Below are 13,125 nucleotides of genomic sequence, written 5' to 3'. Positions count from 1 at the left end.
TATCCCCAACCCTGTGCTCTCTGAAACATGTGCTGTGTCCACTCAGGGTTAAATGGATTAAGGGCGGTGCAAGATGTGCTTTGTTAAACAGATGCTTGAAGGCAGCATGCTCGTTAAGAGTCATCACCACTCCCTAATCTTAAGTACCCAGGGACACAAACACTGCGGAAGGCCGCAGGGTCCTCTGCCTAGGAAAACCAGAGACCTTTGTTCACTTGTTTATCTGCTGACCTTCCCTCCACTATTGTCCTATGACCCTGCCAAATCCCCCTCTGCGAGAAACACCCAAGAATGATCAATAAAAAATAAATAAATAAATAAATAAATAAATAAATAAAATAAAAAAAAAAATAAAGCGAGGTTGACTTCATTCTCAAGCAATTTTCTGAATCTATTCTGGAATGGATTATTGACAACAGGGCCTAGGAATGATGGCTCCTAAGAGGAGATTGGGTACCTCAAGAACGTTATTTTTTCCCAAAAGGGAACATTCATTCCCTTTTGGGAAAAAAATTCTAGACTGAGACTCTGATCAATGTCATAGACACATTGCATGGGGATTCAAGGGGCATTTGACTCACCTGTGGTCCTCTGTGGAAAGGATATAGGAACGTAAATGCATATCACAGAAAGGCTTGTACTTAATTAAGCAACAGTTCAATGTTAAGTGTTGATTTTCTCATAGTTCTCTGCTTGGCTTATTCTGTTCAATATTTTAGTCAATAACTTATATAAAAACAGCAGGCAGTGTTTATCAGATTTGTAAATAGCAGCATAAAAATTTAAAAGTATCTTGACAGGATAGAATGCATATGTGAAATTTAATCAGAATAAAAAAGTTTCTGAAAGGACAAAACAGTGGAAATATCATTTTTAAAGTCTTAAGCCATTTTAATTACATGCAAGTTTATGAGTCGTAGTGTTTTTTCCCAATTCCTAAGAGTCTATGATTTCATAAGCATTAATAACACTTCAGTAACAATTGCAGCAACAACCATAGCAAATAATAAAAAAAAAAACCCCAAAAGGTCACAGCTTCTTTTGGCTAGCTCTAAATACATAATTAAAAGATTTTAGAGTCGTAATATTTCCAAATACCATTCCAGTAACATTGGAATTGCATCAAAGACACCCACACAAAGACTGTTTCAATAAGCATATGCTACCCAAATATATATTACATTAAAATTACCAGAAACAACTGATATGGTGCCAAGAATGTAACAGTCATGTGGAAAATTGACTTTACTTTCTGGCTCACTGCCTCAGTTTCCCTTCCTGCTAAGTAGGAATGGATAATTCTTGCCCACACTACTCAAGAGGTGTGAATCATAAAGATCAATCAATAAATTTTTTTGAGCCTTTTGGCCTGATCCCTTGGATGAAAATGCTCCAGCATCTCTGCTCCTCTTGGAAGGACAATACTCTTCTACAGTTGAAGAGGTTAGAGACTTACCACTCAAGATTTCCATTAATTGCTCTGTGGAGAGTTCTGGGTGGCTCCTCAGGACAGTGTAGATGGTCATCACCATTTCCAGGGTGCAGAACCCACACTGGGGGCTGTGGGCTTTAGCAATTCCTTCGTAAAAGCAAAGGACACAGGGCTCCAGGTGGAAAGTTTAGAGGTAAGAGTCTCTCAGAAATGAAACAGAGGCCTCTGATTGGTACAACTACAGGTAGGTCCAGAGCCTGTCAGGTAGCAGCTGGAAGTGCCATGATTGTTCACATTTCGGATGCCAATGGAGGCTTTCTGGAAAAAAACTCCATTGAGGCAGTTGGGAAAGGAAGTCCTCAATGTCAGCCTAGTGCATCACTTCAAGGGCAGAGTTTAGATTTAACCAAGACCACAGACATAGGGATTACCTACTTTTATTGTGTTCTCTCCCCATTCTGCTCCCACTTGCCCCTCCTCCTGAAAGGAAGTTAAATTGGAGGGACTTATTGCCAAGGCTTCCCTCCACAAAGAGAGCTCCAGCTTTTCCACTTCACACTTTTTGTTCTGACCTGGGAGGGTAACTGGCGTTTTCTTCACTTTAGGGCATTTTTACTAATGTATCTTCAGTATGTAAGTTTAAAAATCTTATAAAAACTTGGCCCTGGCTGGGTATATGGTGGCTCACACCTCTAATCCCAGCATTTTGGGAGGCTGAGGCAGTTGGATCACCTGAGGTCAGGAGTTTGAGACCAGCCTGGCTAACATGGCGAAACCCCATCTCTACTAAAAATGCAAAAATAAGCTGAGAATGGTGGCACACACCTGTAATCCCAGCTACTCATGAGGCTGAGGCAGGAGAATTGCTTGAACCTGGGAGGCGGAGGTTGCAGTGAGCCAAGATCGCACCACTGCACTCCAGCCTGGGCAACAGAGCAAGATTCTGCCTCAAAACAAAAACAAAAACAAAAACAAAAACCTTGGCCCTGAGACAAACACACACTGTTGTGTGCCTCTGATGTAGTGAGAGGATTCCTGGGGGCCAAAGAACCAGCAGGCTAGTGACCTTCCTCCCCTGTGACCTTTGACTCAGTGATTTGCCAACAACCTTCATGGAATACAAATTCCTTGTGATGGGAGAGGGTATTTTTAGAGTAAGACATAATCTTTATATCCAAAGGTTTATAACTTGGTTTGGTGTGGGGTGCTCAACATATATTGTCATTTTTTCTTCTTATTTTCTGCCTCCTGTATCAACATCTATAGTCTTGACCAAAGACTATTACATAGCAACAAGCCAAATTAAACATTCAGGTCACAAAACTATTCTTTCTGGCTAGAATTATCAGCATGACTATTTACACAGACCAAACATAGAATACGCGTCCTTGTTTTTCTCATTTTATTTTATTATCTTAATTTTTATTTATTTTTAGAGATGAAGTCTTGCTCTGTCACTCAGGCTGGAGTATGGTGACCCGATCATAGCTCACTGCAGCCTCAAACTCTTGGGCTTGTGATCCTCCCATCTTAGCCTCCCCTGTAGCTAGGATAACAGGCACACACCACTATGCCCAGCTGAGTTGTTTATTTTTTTATAGATGGGGCCTTGCTATGTTGCCCAGGCAGGTCTTGAACTCCTTGGCTCAAGCGATCCTCCCACCTCGGCCTCCCAAAGTGCCAGGATTACAGGTGTGCACCACTGTGCCCAATCCTTTTTCTTATTTTATTATAGGAACCATAATAGATGTGAATCATCCCTTTTTTATGTCTTTGTGGCAGGACTCAAAGCATTCCTAGGGAGAAATTCCTCCCTGAGGCAATGAGATGGTCTGAAGTGACAGACTCGGGGGGGGGCGTCACTACCTCATCGCCACCTCCTCCACATTTTTATGGAAGTGTAATAAGCCTCAAATAGTAATCAATAAAGCTGCAGAAGGAAAAAGGAAATTAAGAATGGGTAATATTTCTTCTTGTAAAGGAGACAGAGACCTTCACCTGCCATCTGTGTCCTCTGAAACCATAAGCGATCACCCAGACAACGAGAGAGAAGCTACCTAAACCCATTGTTATCCTCAAATGTGCTCTTACCTGAACTGGGTGAATCCTGGGTTAGGTGTTTCCTACACCTTCTCTGGTGGTGACGGCAGCTCTACAGAAAAAGGAGGCGGGCACCAGGCAAGCGGTGACAGAGAAGTGACTTCAGAGTTTACACAGTAAAGCCAAAAAGAATTGGCACAGTGACAGCAGCAGTGTTAAAAAAGAAAAAGAAAATATGTATTTAGATGATTATAATAGTAATTACTTTGATATGAATATAATTAATTGAGTGAGTGTTAGAGCTGGGCCATGACATAAATGATCTTGAATGTATAATAGTATGGCTACCTAAAAATAAAGAGTCTACTACTTGGAATTAAGAAAGCCATTTTTCTTTCCAAACTATCTTGTTAAAATTAAAAATCTCAGGAATTGAAATGGTTTCTAGTTGTTCCTATGCCCATTTCAGTTTGTTGGTTGTGATGGTTGGTCAGATAATTAACACATTACCCTTCAAACAATCTCTAGTATGATTTTATAAAAAGCCTGGAAGGTGTGGGGAAGAAGTTAAATGAGACCAACTGGAAGGCAAGTCATTCAATAACTTCACCAGAGTGTAAGCTGTACAAGGGCAGGTAATTATTTGACCAGCCATCACACTGACAAACTGAAATGATGCATGACAGAAGGAAAATGTTCTGTAAGTGCAAGAGAAATTGCAGTATCCAGAGGTTTTTTTTTTTTTTTTAATTTGCTTTGCTTTCTTAAACAAACAAAAAGATATGATATTTTCTTAGAAAAAACAGTAAAGTTACTTCAGGGTCTGAATTTATCTCAATGACCTCCACAGAGGAATTGATTATATAGATTGAGTCAGTTTTCCTGTGGCCCATTATTTCTGAATAGTAAGAATCATTTAAAATAGGTTGGTTGATCTTATTTCCTTGGCTTGATTAAACATCTCTTTAGCAATTACAGAGTTACATGACGCTGTACTGTATTTGACTTTCTTTTGGCAGGACAAATATTTGGCTTTGTTTCAGAGGATAACCAACAAGAATTTGCATTGTAACACAACCCTGGCTTGAAGAAAATAATAAAAATTTATGAAATATTGGGTAGCTATACACTTTTAAAATTCTTGCATTCACAGTTCAATAAAAGAATGGAGACTTGAACTAAGGGTTTTAATTCTCATCACCACTTGCAAAACATACTCTTTGTTCTTTGATCAAATTTGAAAAGTTAAGTAAGCAAGACCTTGGCAGCAGTAGACAAATAGCATTCTTTTGGTATCCACAGGAAAACATTCGTACAATCCACTAGCACCTCCCTTTAACAGAGAAATTCTAGAAGAGTTGCCATCTCCCTAGTGGAGGAAATACGAAGCAGTAGAAAAAAACCAAACTTTGGGAGCAGTCAGATGAAAGCCAGGGTCCCTCTAGTGCTTGTTAATTGAGGGATCTTTGGGAGATTCTTTGGGAGCAGTTGAATGAAAGCCAGGGTCCCTCTAGTGCTTGCTAATTGAGGGATCTTGGGCACGTTACATAACCACTCTGAGCCTCCACTTCTTTTCATAGCCGCACGTGGAGTGTGCGACATGCAGGGCGGGTATGCTCGGTTTCAACTTTATCTCTTCCTCTTGGCCAACGATGCTAAAAACAAGGATATTGGGCTGCACATCAGGCACGGTGTCAAGGACAATGAAAAACAAGGAGCACCAATTCTAGTCATAGATGATGCCTTAGCTAAATCTCAAGCACTCGGAGCAAAGTGGGCCCAGACAATTGTTTGGCCCATTCACTTAAATGATTTAAGAATTCCCTGCATAAAGGACAACATGTTAAAATGTCAGTGAACTGTGAAGTTTATTCCTGGCTTTCTGGATGACTTCTCTTCCATTCTTGCTAGTCAAAAGTTTTGTAATTATTTGCAAATGATGGGAAGATTTGAGACCCTTAATTCGTATGTGTTTGTGTGTGGTGGCAATGGTGGTGGTGGGACAAGAGCTGAAGGAGGCAGAGCTGTGGGAGGAAGTGGGGAGGAAGAGAGAGATGCAAGAAAGATCCTAGCAAAGAGAAGTCAATGCCTGATGGCTTGGATGAATACAGGTGCAATTACAAAATGTGGTCTGAAGTTATCAACACAATCGCTTTGCATCTGGTAATCCTGACACCTTTACATGCATTACAGAGATTCTGTCTGTCTCTTTCTCCACCTCCCTCTCCTTTCCTCCTTTTTCCCTCCCTCCCTCCTTCTCTCCTCCCCTTCCCTAAGAACCCTAAGGACTACAGATACAGATTGTTATAGGTTTGTCACAGTCACACAGCAAATCAGCAACTCACACACAAGTCACCTGAACCTAGGATCGTCTTGGCAAACATTAATAAAAGATTGCTTCTATCATGGTTTCTTTCTTTATATGAATTTATTAATAATGTAGAAAACTTACTGTTCTTCCATTCACATACAAACAAACCAAGTTCATCTGACGCCTTGGAATGTGACATTATGCCACCAGCATTGGCTGAATCTTGTGAAGTTGTATCAAAAGCACCTGTTCCTGTGTCCGCCTGACAGGCTTGCCATGTGCTCCCTGGAAGAGGATGAATAGTGGATGAAGCAGCTTCCGGGGCCATTTGTATCTGCTTCCTGAGTGTGTTCCTCCAACCAGCTCCTGTCTGTCTATGTTCCCAACCCTCTTGTCTCCCCGCCTTGCTCTGTTACCCCCACTTTCCTCCTCCTTTAAGCCAACCTGGAACTTTCATGGCAATTCAGCCCTTACATAATGTATATTTCTCCTTGCCATGGGGACAACCCACTGGAATAAGCTATCTTCTTCTTCTTCTTCTTCTTCTTTTTTTTTTTTTTTTTGAGATGTAGTCTCACTCTGTCACCCAGGCTGGAGTGCAATGGTGTGATCTCGGCTCACTGCAATCTCTGCCTCCTGGGTTCAAGTGATTCTCCTGCCTCAGCCTCCCAAGTAGCTGGGATTACAGGCACACGCCACCAGGCCCGACTAATTTTTGTATTTTTAGTAGAGACGGGGTTTCACCATGTTAGCCAGGATGGTCTCAAACTCCTGGCCTGAAGAGATCTGCCCACCTCGGCCTCCCAAAGTGTTGGGATTACAGGCATGAGTCACTGCACCCGGCCTTAAACCATCTTCTTAAAGCAGCAACACGAAGCTGCTTTAGTCAGTGACATGGAGCTAAATCATGCTATATTTGCAAATGAACTACATTCAGGGGAGTTTCTTGATGGTAAATGTACTTTTTTTCATAATTTGTTTTTAAATTACAAATAGAAGGCTTATTTTAAAAAAACATAAAAGTATATAAAGCAAAAAGTGAAAATCCTCTATCCCAGTGTTTACTTCGCAAAGGAAACTAGTATCAGATTCCTGTGCGTCTGTACAGAATTTTCCCATGCACATATACATAGATACATACATGCATACATAATTTTTGATAGTTTCTAAAAAGTGAACTCAAACTATTCATGCTATTTTAAAATTTTCTTTTTTTCAAGTTATAGGTTGGTGCAAAGGTAATTGCAGTATTTGCCATTACTTTCAATGGCAAAAAGTGCAATTACCTTTGCACCAACCTAATACTTAGGTTCTCCATGCCTCAATTGCTTTCTGTAAAATAGTCAAAATAACAGTATCTCCCTTGGGGCTGTTGTGAAGTAAAGTGCTTAAAACAGTTCCTGGCACATAGGAAGGTAAGCTGTCAGTAAATGTTAACTATTTGTATTATTGCCATAAATTATTAGTCATCTATTGATTTACATTACATTGTTTTTAATTTTTCACTATTATAAATAATGCTGCCATGAAAATCCTTGGACTTCACCTTTGGACATTTGAGCAAGTATTTCTGTTGGACAAATTCCTGGAGTTGGAATTCCTGGGTTGAAGGCTATGCACATTGCTGAATCCAACTAAATCACCTTCTAAAATGTGTTCCTTAATATAACAAATCATGTACACAGCCTTCTCCAGCTCTGAGCATTATCCCTACTGTCCAGTTTTCCAGGATGTGGGAGAAATGACAGTTCATAGTAGGCATTTCTCTAGTTTGGTGAGGTTATCCATCTTGCTAGACAATTAGTGAGTATTTGTACTTATTCTTCTCTCCTTTGATTATTTTTCCCTAGTAGGTTTTTTATTTATCTATCTGTAGAATTTTATTATATACAATAGGTACCAACCATTCTCTGTTATAAATGCCCAGCTATCCTCTGCCAGTATGAACCACCCACTGGGGACATAACATCATACAGAGTGCTCATTTTCAAGCATCCTGCGTCCTGGAGGAGGGAGCCCATCCTCTAGCTGGCATTCCAGCTGTGCCTGCGCGAGGTTGTTTCATTGCTCTGTCAGAACAGCTGTTCCAAGCAGGATAGCGTCTGATGTGACCAGCAGGTTCCACAGTCATGCACTCACTCCCAGGCTGCTGTGAAGCAGATCCCCTTACTTTGCTGTAAATTGCCCCGGCGTGATGTTACATGGGATCTTATGATGATTAATGTAATACTGTGTAAGCCCTTAGATAGTGGTGATGGCTAAGATCTTGCAGGCAGGAAAGGCAAACCTCTACCCAGAAAACGTTAAAGTGAATCATTGCCCCTTCCCGAATGGAAAGGGTTCAGTGTAGTCAATTTGCCACCAAATGGCCAGTTGGTCTCCTGGAGGGATGGTGTCAAATTGAGGACCAGTTTTGGTCTGTGTTGGAAGCAGATTGGATGTTCAGCATCAGCATCAGCTACATGGCAAGTGGAAGCCCATGCTGTCGGGCCCGTGCAAGGCCTCCATCCCTGACACCATTGGGTGAGCACTGACTGGGGTGATGGATGACAGAGTTGGCTAATGTCACATGGCCATCTCATTTGGTCCACTTAATTGTTTAGCAAATCTTTCACAGTGGGAGCTTCCTGCTGGGTGTTAACCTGTGATACAAAAATCTTCACATATCATGCCACTTCCATATGCCCATTCATATGCCATCTTGTCCCCAGTCTTGTAATATCACCCCCCCCACCCAGGCCCTTGACCAGCTGGCCAAACCATTTGTTCCATATATATCCTAACCTTGGGTTGCACCACTCCTGTTTTCCACATAATGTGGATAATCAGTGTGCTCCCCAAAGCCCTGCCTATTGGGAAAATTTCCCCTTGCCACCTCTAAGAGGGTCTATACTGCCAACACTGCATATCTGGATTGTACCCAAGTATGGAGCCAACCCTCTTGTGAACCCAGCTCTGTCTTTTTCCTTCTGCATCAGCTTAAGGACCCCTCCACTCTGCCTAGCAGCTCTAGGTGTGAGTTGAGGGAGAGACGCTGAAGCACCGGCGTGGGCCACTGTGTCTGGGGTACCTGCTTCTGCTGCTGGCTTGTTCCTCCCGCTCCTGCTCCTGCTTGGTTCTGGATGTTCTGCTTCCTTCTTACTGTATAGCTTTTGCTTGCCTGATCTTACGACTTGTGTTTTCACAAGATCCTCAAGTTACTTTTGTGCCTGTAACTGCAGAGCAGTACTGGATAGTGGCAGTCAGACCCAAGGAGGGGTAAAAGTGATAGAACCCTCCAGACAGAGGACACAGGCAAAGGCTCCAGAGTGAGAGCTACAACAGGAAACCCAGACAGGAAAAGGGAAGGGAACATGAGCCAACGCTGGAGAGACAGGCTGGGGCTAGATAACCTAGGCTGCAGATGCCATCTTAGGGATTTGGGACATGTTCTGCTGAGATGAATAGGAAGCAATTGAAGGGTTTTAGGCAAGAGTGTAACATGATGATTTTGTGTGTGCATGTGCATGTGTGTGTGCCCACAAATTCATGTATATCTTTGGCTTCAATGTGAGAATGGTTGGAAGGAAAGCAAAATGAATGCAGGGAAATCAGGAGGGGATTATTGCAATAGTCAGGGGAGAAATGAAGGTGGCTTGGAGTAACATAGAGGCTATGGAAATAAAGAGAGGGAGAGGCAGATTCAGGAACTGTCTTTGATGTGGGATTGACAGGATTTCGTGCCTGAATAGATGTGTGCGCAAAGAGAACAGAGCACCTCAGATCATTTCCCGTTTCCGGCCTAGCAACCTGTGGATGGCTGTACAGAAAAGGAGATCTGCTTGGGACGTTTGAAGTGCCTTTGAGACATCCAAGTGGCAATGAAAAGCAAGAGTTGGGTTTACAGAGCCAGAGCTTAAGCAAGAGAGTTACCTCCAGCCATGGGAGTAAAGGCAGCCACCCACCAGGCAGAGAGACTGGGAAAGAGGGCCCATGGCTGTCTCGAGAATTCCAACATTTACAGAGGTGGGCTGGAGGGGGAGGAGTTGGCAAAGGGACAGAAAGGAGGCATCTACCCTCGACTTTTGCCCTCCCACGACCTGCATCAGCACAGCATCCAGGATAATCCTTTGCAACAGAAGCAAGTCCATGTCACTTTTCTGCTCTGCAGCCACTTAGATTAAAAGCTCAAGTCCTTATAGCGGCCTCCAGGTTCTACATGGCTGCCCCCGTCCCTGGCTCTGTGCTAGCCACATGGGCCCCACTGCTGCTCCACAAACGGGCCAGGCACACTTGCTTGCAAGAGACTCTGCTCTAATGCCTTGTCTCCCCAGTAATGCTCTTCCTCCAGATACCTGCTTAGCTCACAGCCTCCATTCTCATTTCCTCAGGAGGGCTTTCTCTGACCTATTCTAACCACAACCTGCCACCTGCTCCATCACTCTCCATTGGCCTTAACCTGCTCCACTTCTACTTCTTCCCTTAGCACTCAAGCATCAACCATACTCCTGTAATTTACTTATTATTTTTAAAATTTTTCTGCCTGCCCTTACCAAAATAGGATCTTCCCAAGGACAGGGATCTCTGTCTATTTTGTTTGCTGATAAATCTCAAGTGCCTAGTACAGTGCCTGGCACAGAGTAAAATGCTCTATAAATACTTGTGGTATAAATGAGAAAATCTGCTCTTAAAGGCAGAGATCCATGTGACTTCTCTCTGCTCTTAACGGAAATGGCGTTTTTCCTTGACTATGCCTTGCTATTTAGCCTCCCTTTGAGGCTTCCATGTTTTTGGAAAGCCATTGATTGGGACAGGCTTCTTGATTCTCACAACTTCTCAATCTTTCCCACATTTTCTGTTTCTCTCCACAGATACTTTTTTAAAAATTGAGGTATAATTCACATACCATAAAACTCACCTTTATAAAATTACAATTCAGTGGTTTTTAGTATATTCACACGTTGTAAAATTATCACCACTCATTCTAGAACATTTTTCTCACCCCGAAAAGGAATCCCATATCCATTAGCAGTCTGTGGTCCCAGCAGCCTCTGGTAGCCATTAATCTACTTTGTGTCTGTGAATTTGCCTGTTCTGGACATTTTGTATAGATGGAATCATATAATATGCAGCCTTTTGTGCCTGGCTTCTTTCATTTAGACAATGTTTTCAAGGTTCATCCATGTTGTCACATGTAATAGTGCTTTTTTTTTATATGGCCAAATAAAACTCTCTTGTGTGGATATACCACATTTTATTAGTTGATGGAAATTTGAGTTGTTTCCACTTCTGGGATACTATGAATAATGCTATGAACAGTTATGTATACATTTTTGGGTGAATATATGTTTTAAATTCTCTTGGGTATATACCTAAGATTATGGTAATTCTATGTTTAACTTCTATGTTAACTATGTTTAACTCCTTGAGGAAATGCTAAACTATTTTCCACAGTATCTACACCATTCTACACTGCCCCCTGCAATGGATAAGTGTTCCCATTTTTCCCTATCCTAGCCAATACTTACTGCTGTCCATCATTTTGATTACAATCATCCTACTGCATATAAAATGGTGGCTCATTGTGGTTTTGATTTGCATTTCCTTAATGACTAATGAGTTTGAGCATATTTTTAATGCTTACTAGCCATTTATATATCTTCTTTGGAGATACATCTACTCAAATCCTTTGCCCATTAAAAAATTTTATTGATACATAATATTTATGCATGTGATATTTTGTTACATACACAGAATGTTAAATGATCAAGTCAGAGTAGTTAGGGTAAAAACTAAAAATAGAACTACCATACCATCCAGCAATTCTTTTGCCTATTTTTAAATTACTTGCCTTTTATTGAGTTGTAAGAGCTCTTTATGTATCTGGTTACAAGACTTTTATCAAATATATGATTTACAAATATTTTATCCTATTCTGTGGGTTTCCTTTCAATTTCTTGATAGTAACTTTTAAAGCTTTTGGGTTTTCATGAAAACTTTGGTGAAAGTTCGCTATTTTTTCTTTGGTCCCACTTAGATACAGTGTCTATATTCATTCTGACAAGAGGAAGGTGATAGCAGAAAAGGACAAATGAAAAAATGACAACTTCACAGTTCATATTAGTAATGAAATTATTTAGAAAATTGCCTTTCACTATATGGTATAATTTCTGTTGGTGGATAGAAGCCAAGTAGGAGTCACATGCAAGTCATCACCTATTCCATTTAGCTGGATGGATTGAAGAGACAGAGTAATGACGGATATCACCCTAGAGGAAACCAATTAGTGTTTATAACATTGAAAATGATTTATAGATTGCTTAAGCATATCTATCAAATCTAAATGGAATACTTTAAATCAGCTCCATAGAAAAGCAACACTGTGGGATGATTTCTGAACTGTGGAAACTCTGTCTTTCAGATCTAGCATCTTCCAGCACAGAGATAGGACAGATTGCCATCTGGGAAGAGGCACTCTGTTTTCTCCAGAAGTTTGCATTTGATTCAGATGGGTACATTCCAAGGAACGTAGGATCCAGGTTCATCTCTCGGAATCTAAAATAAAAACAAATCTGGATGTTCAAACCTGGGAAATGTTTGTGACTTAGGTGAAAAATAGAAGAACATAAAGTAGGTTAAACACCAGCAGAGGGCAACCAGGGCCATGACAGGTCAGGGAACAACAGCCTGTGAAGTATAGAGGAAGCCAGGGGAGGACTGGAGAGGTCCTGGGGTTATCATCTCACGCTTGAAGACCACCCAGTGAAAAGTGGAGTGGGTCTCTGTTTCTCCAGAGTAGAAAAAGCAACGTGTCAGGGGCTTAGGGAAAACCATGAAGGATACCACAAAGAGCCAGTGTGAGTGGAGGATGGGAGGGGCTTTCCCTTCAGTCAAAGTCAGGGTGGTAACTGTGAACAGTATGACTTTCTTCCACAATTAAAAACCCTGTCCCTGAAAATATCCAAGGAGGGTAGAGATGTCTGCTCGGCATGGGCGCTGTTGCCAGAGGGGAGGGGTTCCTGCTAGCATACTTTCCGGGTGCCCGTTTGGGGTTGGGGTGGAGGCAGACTGTCAGAGGGGCCTATATTCCTGGACTGGGTGTCCTAGGTTCAGGGCATAGTTCCTGAACTTCTATTCCTGACCAAGGTGTCCTAGGAAGGGAGCAAAACAGGAGAGGAACATAAAACTAATGGGAATGAACTTTCTTTTGTCAAATAGTATAGAATGGAGCCAAGCAGGGGCAGGCTGATGAAAAAATGCAACCCGAGGGGTACAAGTTCAAGGACCCCTCTGCACATCTGCTCAAATGCCCCCAGGTTTCCCGTCACCTTTTCTGGCAAGAAAAGCCACAGCAGTGCGTTCA

The 13,125-nt window shown here is 41.8% G+C and overlaps 1 protein-coding gene across 5 annotated transcripts in view; it reads right to left on the bottom strand.

The window, feature by feature from the left end:
- Positions 1-704: 704 nt before the first annotated feature.
- Positions 705-13,125, bottom strand: part of AOX1 (aldehyde oxidase 1) — a 96,228-nt gene continuing 83,807 nt past the window's right edge. For 2 of the 5 annotated variants that reach the window (XM_011511062.2, XM_017003946.2), the window contains one exon: positions 5,882-6,068. In XM_011511062.2, the coding sequence (XP_011509364.1) occupies positions 5,982-6,068 (87 nt within the window). In that variant the 3' untranslated portion in view covers positions 5,882-5,981. Of the gene's footprint in view, positions 1,580-3,523; positions 3,633-5,881; positions 6,069-11,450; positions 12,318-13,125 lie in introns of those variants that run through there. The other 3 variants (NM_001159.4, XM_017003947.3, XR_007073113.1) reach the window with 2 other exon arrangements.

This window comes from Homo sapiens, chromosome 2 (genome assembly GCF_000001405.40).
Source record: "Homo sapiens chromosome 2, GRCh38.p14 Primary Assembly".
In the NCBI taxonomy this organism is placed as follows: Eukaryota; Metazoa; Chordata; class Mammalia; order Primates; family Hominidae; genus Homo; species Homo sapiens.
This window is presented reverse-complemented; position numbering and strand designations above follow the sequence as displayed.